The sequence below is a fragment of the Homo sapiens genome, chromosome 13 (assembly GCF_000001405.40).
Source record: "Homo sapiens chromosome 13, GRCh38.p14 Primary Assembly".
In the NCBI taxonomy this organism is placed as follows: Eukaryota; Metazoa; Chordata; class Mammalia; order Primates; family Hominidae; genus Homo; species Homo sapiens.
In genome coordinates this window covers 105,438,329-105,451,862 of record NC_000013.11, presented here as the reverse complement: position 1 = coordinate 105,451,862, position 13,534 = coordinate 105,438,329, and positions in this window count along the sequence as shown.

The window sequence follows — 13,534 nt, the reverse complement described above, 5'->3', positions numbered from 1 at the left end:
CAGGAGGCCGAGGAGTGTGGATCACCTGAGGTCAGGAGTTCGAGACCAGCCTGGTCAACATGGTGAAACCCCGTCTCTACTAAAAATACAAAAATTAGCCGGGTGTGGTGGTGAGCATCTGTAATCCCAGCTACTTGGAGGACTGAGGCAGGAGAATCACTTGAATTCAGGAGGCACAGGTTGCAGTGAGCCAAGATTGTGCCACTGCACTCCAGCCTGGGCGACAAGAGGGAAACTCCGTCTCAAAAAAAAAAAAAAAAAAAAACCACAAAAAACAAACAACAACAACAACAAAACAGACTATTAGCACTTTCTCATATCCCTTGTTTGCTTAAGAATAGTATTTGAATAATATAACGGCCTATATTTTATCTACCTACTCTCTGACTTCCTCTGGTTTGGAGGGGGGTGAATCATCAGAGGTGTTGTTGCACAGTATGTGTGTGGGTAAATAGGGTCCCTTTTCTCTACTCATCTTTTCTATGCAAAATAAAGCCATTGGTTATAATGAAGAGGAAATCAGAGGGGAAGAGGTCTATTTTGAATTTTTGTAACCGAAAAAGCTCATGATTTTATGTGAATATTCCATTGGCTGCTTAGCTTGCCTACTTACTTGAATTTGGAGTTTATTCCCAACACTGCAGCTTACATGCACCAAGGTTTGGGAACATTCTGTAAAATTTCCTTGAGGACAAATATCCGCTTTGTTGTATTCTTTGTTATTTATCCATTTTGCCAAATTATCTGCAAGTAGAAATATCGAAATAAGAAGCTCTTTAGCAATTTACTTTGGATATTGGTTTTCTTTTGAAGGACAGTTATTAAAATAGCTTGTAGGATTACTCATTTTCGTTTTTCTTCTTTTTAAATATAAAGCAATGTCATCACTTTTTTCCCTGTATTATATTTCTCCTCAATAATTGATATGCTACATTAAAGGAACACAAAATGGTCTTAATTATGCAATAATGATCAAGGCAAAGAGTGTTTCCTGGGAACTAATGGTTGCCTGAGAGGAGGTGATGGCTTGAGGTCCAGCTGGTTATTAAGCCGCAGGAAATGCTGCAGGCCAAGATTTGTATTATTTCTCTGAGATGAAAATGAACCCAAAAAAAGGCAAAATGGGTTTTTCTCCACTAATGGGTAAAATGAACTCATTTTGGATGCAGAAGACCTTTATGTAGAAGGAATGTATTCCATAAAAGCAAAATCAAAATGTTCAGTGGTCTCTGCTTTTTGTTTAAAATATAGTATAGCACAAATAATAGTCCATTATTGATTTTAAATCTTGATGCAACTAAAAATATCATGCAACACTTGAGTTTTTGTCTAGTTCTAGAACTTCCATAGAATATTATGTCCAACAATTGTTTTGATAGCTTTTGTAAGCTAAGAATATATTTTGTATGCATTTAACATTGAAAATGGTTACTTCTGAAAATATTCAGAAAACAGCTATCTCATAACAAAAGAATACAGGCATTATTTTCTTTTTTTTCTGGAGTTCATTCAAAAAATATTGGGGAAAGGTGTCTCATTAAAAGATGCGTTGAGATTTGTGGTCTCTCTGCATGATTAGAGATGAATCACTTAACCTTCTTAAAGAAACTGCCTAATCAATTTGTAAAGTAGTTAGTATAGCTGCCCCCATCTCTGATTTGTAGTAGGATTATGCAAAGCAGAGTATTTTGTAGATATTAATATTACTAATATAAAAATGTAGTTATTACTATATTTACTTTACCATCTTAACCAAGTGAAACAATATATTTTATCATATTTTGCCATTTTTGCCACCCCTGTGACATGGGGTATGTCACAGGGCATAGTAGACAACTGAAAGAGCTCCTAATAGTCAAAACTGGAAAAGTTTCAGAACAAAATTAACCAGTAGTATTAGATTATAACCCAAAATACAAAATAAATGTTTCTGAATTCATTTTGATTTAAATGAATGACAGAATACATAAGTCAATGGGGGAGAGTTTATTCTTGCATGCAGAAGAATCCAGATAATTTATGTGGATGCCCTGCCTTCAAAGAGGCAGAGCCTAACTCTCATTCCTGGGCAGCACAGAGTGACTTCCTTCCAAAGAGTACAGGACCGAAAGGGGTGACCAAAAGATTGAAGAAAGATCAAGCAGTTATCATGAGTAAAGCAAACCTTGACAAGTTTATCGCAATGTTTAGAATTTTGTTATGTTCAATCGAGGACTTTACAAAATTGTGTTAAACTTTATGATGGATATGGGTGTCCTTCTTAATAGAGAAAGTTCAAAAGCCGGGTGCTTTGGGGGAAACATTATCTTTTGTCTGCCACTATAAATGTGACTAAAATAGTACGTAATAAGCATATGGCCACAAACTTAAATGCATTATGTTGCCAAGAAAATATGTTGGCAGGTGTGTAGCAGGCCTTGCAGAAGATTTGTAGGAAAAATCATAAAACAAAGTACATAGTGTGAGATGTTTGCTATACATGAGGATTTTTTAAAAAGCAGATCTAGTAGAATATGATTTACTTAGAGAAGATTTGTATCTCTTGTGTTCAGCTGAATTATAGCATCTAACACAGCCTGTGCCACACAGTAGGAACTCACTCAATTTTTGTTGAAATTATTCAACGAATATTTTATTTTAGGCTTTTGCAAGATATGACTTTGGTAATAAATGTAGCACACTTAATTCATTGAACACTAAAGGAAACAAATGCTAAAGAAACTAGTTTCCAGGCACAAATGACTTGCTTAATAGCACAAGGCACATGGTGGGGAGGGGAGGTAACTACAAGATGCCACCCTGAAGGAGTCACTGTTTCATCTGGAGCACTAGAGATAGTGGGTGCTATTGATGTTAGCTAGCAAGACTGAGGGGCCAACTTTCTGAGTTCAAACTGTGGTTTTTCCACCTGTAAATGAGGAACAACGATAGGACTGGCCTCAGAGATAACCCATGAGGACTAAGTTGGTTAATGTAGAGTACTTAGATAGCTGCCTAAAACTATGTAATCATTATGTAAAGATAAGCTATTATTAATTTTAATGGTCATAATTTAAATGAACATTCTAGGATATAGTTGCAGACATTGCAATACACCAAAGTCATTTATGTTATAATTTATATGCTATCCAGGAGAGAAATTGCAACACAGATGTGCAGGCACCCCACTATCACCCCAAATTAATATTATGGTTATTAATTCAAGACCTATAAAATAGCATGTGTCATTTATAAAACTCTCAAATGTCCATATTTAAAAACTTGCTTAAAATTCTTAAAAATCAAAAAGTTAATGGGTTTTGAAGTCTCTTGTTAAAAAAATAACAAATCAGTGTAAATGAATGACAGTTTAATATCAAAAAGATGAAAAGTTGATAGCCAAGTAACAAATGAAATTGTTAAGCAGGGTTGAAAAATTACCAAGTGCAATGGAAAAATTAACACAGGGATTTTATATTTGTAATTATTGATTAACTTCTTCTATTAATTCTTATTTTGACAATATTTAAAGCCAAATATTGGCATATATTAAACTGAGAACCGAATCCTTAAATTGCTGTATCTCAGGGTACTAAATCAAAATTTTCTAAAACGTTGAAACAAATTTCACTCACTTGGGCTTTATTGAAGATATTATTGCTTTATCCTTTAGTTAGAATGATGTTATTATAATGTTGTTTCTGAAGAACATACCATAATTAATTAATGTTAATTCCCCATTTCTTTTATCATTTAGATTTCTACTTTTAGTGTATTTCATGAAGGACATGAAACATTACTATTGAATGACATATACAAAAAGTTGAAGATGTGTTAATCTTCTTTTATTAGGCTGATGGAAGTAATCAAACATATTTATTATTTATCTTAGGTGAAGTTTAAATAATAAAGTCTTGTATACTATTAAACTATATATTACTTTTACTTGTCACCATCTTTTCTCTAAGCCTGGTTTAGAGGTAAAAATCTTTTCAAATTGTGTGGCTTCAACTTCCAACTTGCTCACCTTCTCTGGGTAAGAGTTGACCATATTCTATCAAGGACACAAATACTGTATTCCTTCTTCCCAGGGCATTTATATAGTCACAGGGAAGGCCTTAGCCTGCCTTTTGGACTTCCCTATGCTTTAAGATTTTTTTCTTTATGTACGATAAGTAGAAGAGGAAGAAATACATCAAAAGAAGTTTCGCTGCAATTCAACTACCTTATTGACCTTAACTTCCTCAATCAACTAAAAGTATCTTTCTACATCATTCATTTCAGCATTTTTCCTTTTTTCTTATTTATTTGTTTTTCTTTTTTCTTTTCTATCATCCATTTGACTTTTGTCACAGATAGATTTTAACAGCTTGCATTGTATGTTCATTTTCCTAAAATATTAGAGCTTCTATTAAAAGATTGGTGTAAAGAAATTAGGGGTCCAGGCGGCTCATGCCTATAATCCCAGAACTTTGGGAGGCTGAGGTGGGCGGATCACGAGGTCAGAAGATTGAGACCATCCTTGCTAACACGGTGAAACCGCGTCTCTACTAAATATAGAAAAATTTAGCCGGGCGTGGTGGCACGCGCCTGTAGTCCCAGCTATTCCGGAGGCTGAGGCAGGAGAATCGCTTGAACCAGGAGTTGCAGTGAGCTGAGATTGGGCCACTGCACTCCAGCCTGGGCAACAGAGCAAGACTCCATCTCAAAAAAGTAAATAGGATAATTATATTCTTATATTCATTAACATATTTTGATGGATCCCCTGACATGAATAAGGGCAGAGACGGTAGCAAGTTAAGATGGGCCAGTTGGATTTCATGCCTTCAAGGACCTTTCATTCGAGCATAGGAAGAAAAATAAGAGTATACATATTTATAATACAAGGCCAAATGTTTGAAATCGTGAAAGCTTCCTTCTGTATCTCAAAGAGCAATCAACTCTGGCACAAGTGATCTACAGTGACTTTGTGGGAGCAGTTGGCATCTGAAAAACATCTTAAAAAACAGTCTATAACTTGTATTTGTTTCTTTTCACTTACATGTTATGAAAGAAGAGAAATAGAGCCTATGTCTGCTATCTCCTGGACCCTCCCCTAGTACATTTTTCCATTGCTAACTTTAGTCTACAGCCTTTCACTGTAATAAACCATTACTAAGAGTGTGTTAGTGTTTCTAAATTCTTTGAGTCCTTTTAGCTTTCACTGAATCTAATATTTGTGTTAGGACCCCCCCACACACCCCTAAAAAAGAGGCTCTAGAGTTCGTCAGCTGGGACATTCAAGTGGCCAGGCCCAATATATTCAGAAATGCTGACTTCCTTACAAAAACTAAAAGCTTTATAATTTTCAAAAAAAACCCCAAACCTAGTTTGAATAACACATAACAAGTTTTGAGTGAACGCTTAGCACTGTCTCACCATGAGCTCATGGATTGGAGGACAGTGGCAGGGCCACACACGTGCCCTCCCTGTAGCCAAATGTAGGCCAGTTTACAGACATCAGGAAGTTGCCACTGCGATGCAGTCATTCTTGACCTCTGTGAAGAAATTCTTCCAGTTAAAAATTTATTTATGTCTACAAGCATCCTCTTTCAAATGCAACCACCCCGTGGAATATTTTAAGTCTCACAGAAAAGTCACCTTTATTTTAGCATGAAATGGCTTAAAAATCAGATTATTTTTCTTCAAACATCAGATATAATTTCCATTAAGGAAATAGAAGTCTTTATAGTGATTGATGGAGAGAAGTTATTTTGGCATAAAAGGAAAATGTGCTTGGGTGGAATACCAGAGCAGACAGCTATGAGCTGTCAGAGAGAAGAACTTGTGGGGAGCAGAGGAGATGGGACCTTGAAAGCTGGGAGAGAAAGGCACAAAAACAGCAATGCAAGAAGTATATTTTAACCACTTTCAGTTTCACTACTAGCTGCCCCTACAGAGTGATTGTGATTAAAGAAACTCTTACTAACCGATTTTTAACCCACGCTGAGTCTTCCATGTATCTTAGCTTGATTTTTTTTGCCCTCAATCACGTGTCTACACTAGATCAAGTGCACCATCTACCAAATCAAACACTCGTTTTTAAGTAGGGTGTAAACTGTCACTAAGGAATGTTTGGGTCAATGTCCACCTATAGATACTGCTCTCACTGTACTTGAGGCAGTATTGGAGAACTTATGTTTTCTATGGAAGACTTAGAGCATTACTGGAAAAGAGACGGCTTTGTTTCCTTTCATATTAAATGTCAAGGAGAGGCGGTAAAGCCTCTCCTCTGTTTTTCTATAGAACCCAGTTCAGGGCTGTGTCTCATCACTTACTATCCTGTGTATTATTAATGATCAATTCATCTACTCCTCACCAGACTGCAAAGTTTTTGAGGAAAGAACTCCTTCATTCTCCACTATCTACACAGACTACGTATAAATTAACAATGAATAAATGAACAAATGCCTTCTTCATATATCTTGACTAGTCTATATGTTGTTAGCATTATATTTAAATACCACTTTTTCATAAGAGTTGTGGATTAGAAAACTGTGAAGGGATTGTTTGTTTGTTTGTTTTCCTTAAAAAATTAATACTTGCGGCCGGGCGCGGCGGGTCACGCCTGTAATCCCAGCACTTTGGGAGGCTGAGGCGGGCGGATCACGAGGTCAGGAGATCGAGACCATCCTGGCTAACATGGTGAAACCCCGTCTCTACTAAAAATACAAAAAAACATTAGCCGGGCGTGGTGGTGGGCACCTATAGTCCCAGCTACTCGGGAGGCTGAGACAGGAGAATGACGTGAACCCGGGAGGTGGAGGTTGCAGTGAGCCGAGATCACGCCACTGCACTCCACCCTGGGTGACAGACCGAGACTCCGTCTCACAACAACAACAAAAAATAATAATAATACTTGGACAGGAAGACCACAGCTATCACTTCTAGATCTAAACATTCTTCAAGATGAGTGGAGACAGAGGTAGAGTGTGTGCTGGATGGATATAGGAGTGGACTTACTTGGTTGTCATCATACGGTTGTACCATTTCTTTTTAATAATGACTGAAGATGACATTGGGAATAAATAAACATAGACCTTTGAGTTTCATAGCCACTTAACTCCCTAGTTTTGTTTTTCAAATTAGTTGAGAGGTGATACTTATAGCCATAACTTTAATAACATTACCATCATCATCTCAATTGTGGCAGCTACAATGTCAAGAAACTCACAAAGTTAAAATGTGAAGAAACTTTAGAGGTGGTTTGGTGTGGAGAAGATTGATGTTGATACGATTCATGTATCTTTCAGGATTCCATGGGATTGCACTCTGTCATCAATTTGCTCTAAGGACTATGTCTGAAAAAACTTATTGTGTGTCATTACTGAAATACTCAGCAGTGGTTTGGTTTCTGAATACTTTTAAAGCATTCTCTCTCTTCTCCGCATTATACCATAAAATATATCTTAGCATATTATTGTTTTCACTTGCCATTTGTTTAATATATGAGAATATATTAAAGCATATGCCTTGAATCAAATGCTAACCAGATTAAACTATATCTAAGAGAGTGTGTCTTTTCAAAACAGATTGTGAAGTTGTGTTCTGGTTCCCATATTACTGCCATTGTTCAATATTTTGGGACTTCTATTTTGGAAATGCATTCAGTTCCAACTTGTAGCCCCTAAGAAATGCTCCCTACATCTAAAGGCTAAGATGCCCTCCTTTATTATTTTTCTGATCAAATATTTAAGAAATAAGCTTCAAATATTTGTTAAATTTTTCTCAAAAGTAAAATTTTTATGTTTAAAATATGACAATCTAATTGTCATCTTTAATGTATTAAAATCTTTTATATCCAGTTTTTATTTTATTTTATTTACTTATTTATTTATTTGAGATAGGGTCTCACTCTGTCACCCAGGCTGGAATGCAGTGGCACAATCTTGGTTCACTGCAACCTCTGCCTCCTAGGCCCAAGTGATCCTTCCACCTTAGCCTCCCGAGTAACTGGGACTACAGGCCCACATCACTGCGCCTGGCTAATTTTTATATTTTTAGTAGAGACGGGGTTTAGCCATGTTGGCCAAGCTCGTCTTGAACTCCTGACCTCAGTTGATCCACCCTCCTCAGCCTCCCAAAGTGCTGGGATTACAGGTGTGAGCCATATATTCAGTTTTTAGAAGATCATTAGAATTCAAATGTTGCCAGACTTTAAGTGTGGGTCACTATCTGATGGAGGGCTTCTCTTAGAAGATGTCCCCAATGGCAGGGCCTTGTTATAAAGGTTGGAAGAGAGATAATCCTCTGACTAAGAGGCCAGAGAAGCAGAAGATTTTTTTTCATCAGATTTCACGTCAGTAGGAAGACAGAAAGGAGAAGGAAGAGAAGGCATGAACAGCATATGTGTGAAGTAGAATCTTAATAGTGTGCATCTTTTAAGTCAGGATTCCGTCTACTGTTGGCCAAAATAAATCATTATTATCTGGTGGTTGGAAAAAATAAGGACATTCCTTGGTTTTCTCCAAAAACTTATTTTGGTGTTTCTTAATTACCCTTAGGAGACCTTAATGATCAACACTGTATCAACAGAGAAAGTGGAATTTTATTCTCTTATAGAACAGTGATGTTATTATGCAATGTATTCACATAATTATTTACAGTTCTTCAGTTCTAGATGACTGATACTACAGAAACCTGAGATAATCCCTGCTTCCATTAGTTTGGGTGGAACTTTTGTTGAGAGACTTGAGTCATACTGAATACCTTGAATTACTGCCAAGAGCTGGTGATCATCAAGCTTGAGTTAATACCAATGTTATGTTGCTATGGAGAGGATAACTGCAGGAGAACAATCATCATGTGGTAGGTTTTACCACGTGGCCTGCTGAACTCCATGCTCAAACTCCAACTACTTTTAAGTAATGACATTAAAAATCATATTTTCCATTTATCTGTGGAAGCTAGTGAGTAAAGAATAAGATAGAGTCTACTGAACCTATAGAATGTTACTAAGTATTAGGTGTTGTATTTAATTTCCAGTTTGTCTAATGCTGGAGGCAATTTTACCTTCTCCTACCAGTGAAAAAGTTTATGCCAGTAAGACTTGTGATTTTTGTTCTCCCCCAACACATGCTTCTATATAAATTTATTATGGGAAAAGTGATATTAATAAAAACTTTCTGGAACAATTATAGATAGAGTGTGGTCTGGTGTGACAGATATTTTGTTTCTTCACAACATTCATTCTCTGAGTATTCACCATGGATCAGATATTCTGTAGTTTCTGTAGTAGATACAAAAGCTTTACAAGGTGTATTTTTCCACAAAGAGGTTAGCTAGATTAATAGTGAGAGGATACATCAAAGAACATGGAAATGATTTTTAGAGAAATGAGAGCAAATACTAAAGTATTGAATTAAGTAAAACAAGAAAAATAGCTCCTCCCACCTTCAAAAACATTGGTGAGACCAGGATTGTGGAGGGCACCTTGGCAATGGGCCTTGTAGCTCAGTGAATGGATAAAATGTGTACACAGTGAGAAGAGAAGAAAGTGTCTACACAGAAGTTAGTTTTTGTTTAATTTGATATTTTCTCTTTACCTCGTTCTAGTCAAGATGACCTGAAGCCTTCTAGTGAAGAACCAGCCAGGCAAGTTCCACTTCTTAGGGCCGTTAAATCCCTTCTCTTATTAATGATGTTAATTGCATTTGGATCTCCATCCAGATATTTGCCCTACCTTAATTTCATGTTAATGTGCCATGGGCTAAAGAGGCAGTATTTTTTAAACGCATCTGTAAGTTTCATTTATGACAGAATTTCTGTAATAAAAGTGTAGTCAAGAGTGTTGATGGAAAATTAGGGTGACATAAATACGTGAGAACTGGAAAATGTATAATCTTAAACAGTACACATTATTTTTATTATCTCTCTTTCCCACAGGCTGATGAGGCCTGGGATACTAATATAAAAACCAAAATTAGAAACTTCTCCTCTGTGGTGTTTATTGCTTCGCCTGCAGTGCATGAAATCTTAATTCTAAAGCTCTAACTCACAAAATCTGACATCGTTTTACCCTCTGACACGTCAAAATCAGGGCCTAATTGTTCCTGTGGTTGTGAATTATGAACAAATATACTTTCTAAGAAGATGGATTTTTCATTTAATTTTCCTTTTCAGCTTCACAATATGTACATATACAGAGGTTGCCTGCGATTTTAATATGCTCACACCTACAAAAACACACAATACACACAAACTTTCAAACGTAAGCACACAGATCTGTAAACATACACATGAAGATTTGTTGCAACACAATTCATTCTCAAATCTATTTCCTGTTATGCTTATGATTAAGATCTATAACTTCTCAGGGTTGATTTATTTGTTTTGTACGAGACTGAGTAAAGCTAAAGACCACGAATATGATGGGTGTTGCTAAAATAAACTTCTCAAGAGACATCAAGTTTTAATCTGCCATATTTCAAATATTCCCTGTTGAAATATAAACATAAAGGAACCATTAATTATATAAAAATAGAAATACATTTGTGACTTTCAGAGCTGTCACCGAATAGATATTGGAAGGCAGGTTATTTAGAGGACTCATGTAAGACAGAAAAGAACTACGCACAGATCACCGATGATGACACAGTTATGTGGAGAAAGTAATCTGCCACAGGTCACCCAGACAGGGAGTGGGAAAGTGATGGCTCCGTCCTCGATCACTTTTATATCCCTTTCATTCCAAAGCCAAGCATGTTCTATAAAAGCAGAAATCTCTGTACTCTTTTGACATCCTAACTCCTTCTGCTACCCTCATTTACCCTCATACATGTTTTATACAGATGTGGGCTTGTCAGAAAAATCACAAAATTTTAATGTTAGAATGGACCTTATCATGCTATTTTAGTTATCAGCTGCTGAGCTGTTTTCTATGTTTGAGTTCCCTTCTCTCTAAAAAATATACAAAAATCAATAGAACTTTCAGTGCACTTGCAGGTGGGTTTTACCTTTTTTAGGCCTTGATCTCACAGCCTGATCCTTAACTCATCTACTTTCCAATACTGGCTGACAGAGCATCCACCATCCAAAGGCAGCGTAGACAAAGGTTCAATGAGTAGGAACTCTTAATTATGACATAATGACATTAATAACTTTTACCTTATGTTTTATGTTTTTGGAGACAAAATAATTCCAAACTTATTATTATAACCATAAACATAAATATTTGTATCATTAATAACAGTGTAGGACCTTAATTTATAGTTTAACCATTCACATTTGAGTCTTTAATCCCTGCTCAATTCCAAATGTATACATAGTTTTAGGGGTCCATTTTTATTTCTCTCCACATGTAGTGATTTATGTTTCTCTGTACCTTCTACTAAGTAACCTGGCCTTATTCCATTATATATTTAGTTTCCATATATACATACATCTGTCTCTGAGGACTTTTAATTTCATTTCATTGGTCAATGTATCTGTTCTTGCTGTTGTAACAGACTACTGCTACTAATACTACTGCTGAATTACTATTATTATTATTATTACTTTTCAGTATTTCTAAAGAGCTTTTTAAAAATATGTCATTAAGTTACTGTTTTAAGTAAAACATTTTATATAGAGATTCATATACATATTGAACTTATGTTTTTATTTTCTTGCATGTATCTTAAGTGATCTTGAAATCAACATTATAACAACCTGATAAAATAGAGTGAAGGTTTCTGATCTTTGCTCATTTGCAGGAGCACCTTATATAAGATGTAAATTAGGTAAACGTTTAACATTTGGGAGAAATTCACTATACAACAATCTGATTCTGAGACTCCAAAGATCGTTTTTTATGTTTAAAATATCTATTTCTCTATTCAAACTTTCATTTTATTTGCCGCATCTAATATCTGACACATTTCCAAATAAGTAAAAACAAAATTCACCAAATCTTGTATCTTTTAAAATGTATCTTTGTTTCCTGTCTTCTATGTTTTGATTATTTCTTTTAAATTTTTAAAATAAATTTGTGTTTAGTTTTGAACCATAAAAATAACTCATTCAAAGTCATCAAAGTAAAAGTAATCATCTCTTAGGCATATAGTTGTCAGTAATCTGATTTTAACCCAACAGACTATATACATATTTAAGACAGGGTCTCTCTCTGTTGCCCAGGCTGGAGTGCAATGGCACAATCATGGCTCACTACAGCCTTAACTTCCCAGGCTCAAGCGATCGTCCCAAGTAGCTGGGGACTACAGGTGCATGCTTCCACTCCTGGCAAATTTTTGTATTTTTTGTAGATGTGGGGTTTTGCCATAAGACGAATTGTTGAGTCAAGATGTAGATGGCACATTAGTTCACGTTATTTCAGTTAAGGTTTCCTGAGCCTCTACTTTGTGCCATGATATAAGCAAGGTGCTAAGTCTGTGCTGCAAACAGCAGTCATCCTATCCAAACCGTACACTTACAAGTGAGGCAACAAAGGTATATAGGGGTTCGGGAAAAACTACGGAAAGCGTGTGTGTGTGTGTGTGTGTGTGTGTGTGTATCAGGCAGAAAATTATCCTCACATTTTCCTACGAGTATCCTAGTTGATCCTCTGCCACCATGCTCTTTCCATGGGTGCCCTTTGCTGTGTCCTTTCCACCCCACCCTTCCAGAGGGATCTGGATGTGGATGCCTATGCTGAGTGTAATGAAGCCTGAGATGTTGTTAGAATTTAATGAATAAGGCCAAGTATGCTAACATTTTTTCAATCCACAAAACGAAAATTAGATCTTGACCTACACAAAATGTGGCTAGCTCCTCTGTTGAGAAACCCTGACACCAGATCTATTAATACCTTTCCTATGGTCACTTTATGTTTTGAAAGTTTGCTACTATTTGGTGATGACACCACCAACTAGGATGAATATAAATGTTCATTTTCAAAGATGTTAAAGGCATCATTCTCTTATTTCTAATAATTAAATAATAAATGTGGAGATACACACACACACACACACACACGGTTTCCATAGTTTTTTTTTTTCAGGCAAATTCGCTAAAATCTCATAAACATTATAATTATTATTAACTCCTAGGAATAATATCTACATTTAAGGAAAGAGTAATTTTAATTTAAGTAGACACATTTAATGATGCAAGTATGGATACCTCATGCAAACAAATGCCTTTATACTTACTCAGAATAAATAATGGGAATTCCACATGGAAGCTTATGAGAAGGTCTTTAATGATCTTATTTTGCTTTGGTTTTAGCTTTCTGAGTAAACAAGCCCCTACACACTGAGTATTAGATTCACCTGGAGGTCTTATTTCATAATGTATCCAGGGCTTTAGCCCTAGACATGCTGATTAAGACTGGGGTGGGCTCAAGAATTTGCATTTTTCACAAATTCCAAGGTGATATTGATTTTATTCTTAGTAGATCTTCTCATTAAAAATAAGTGTAACCCTCTGCAATTAACAGAATAAAGTCAAAATCTCTATCGCAGGATTCAACAGAGGGATGACAATCTGGCCCAACCACCTTGCATAGCTTTGGGACCTAACATTACTCTTGTTTTACAGC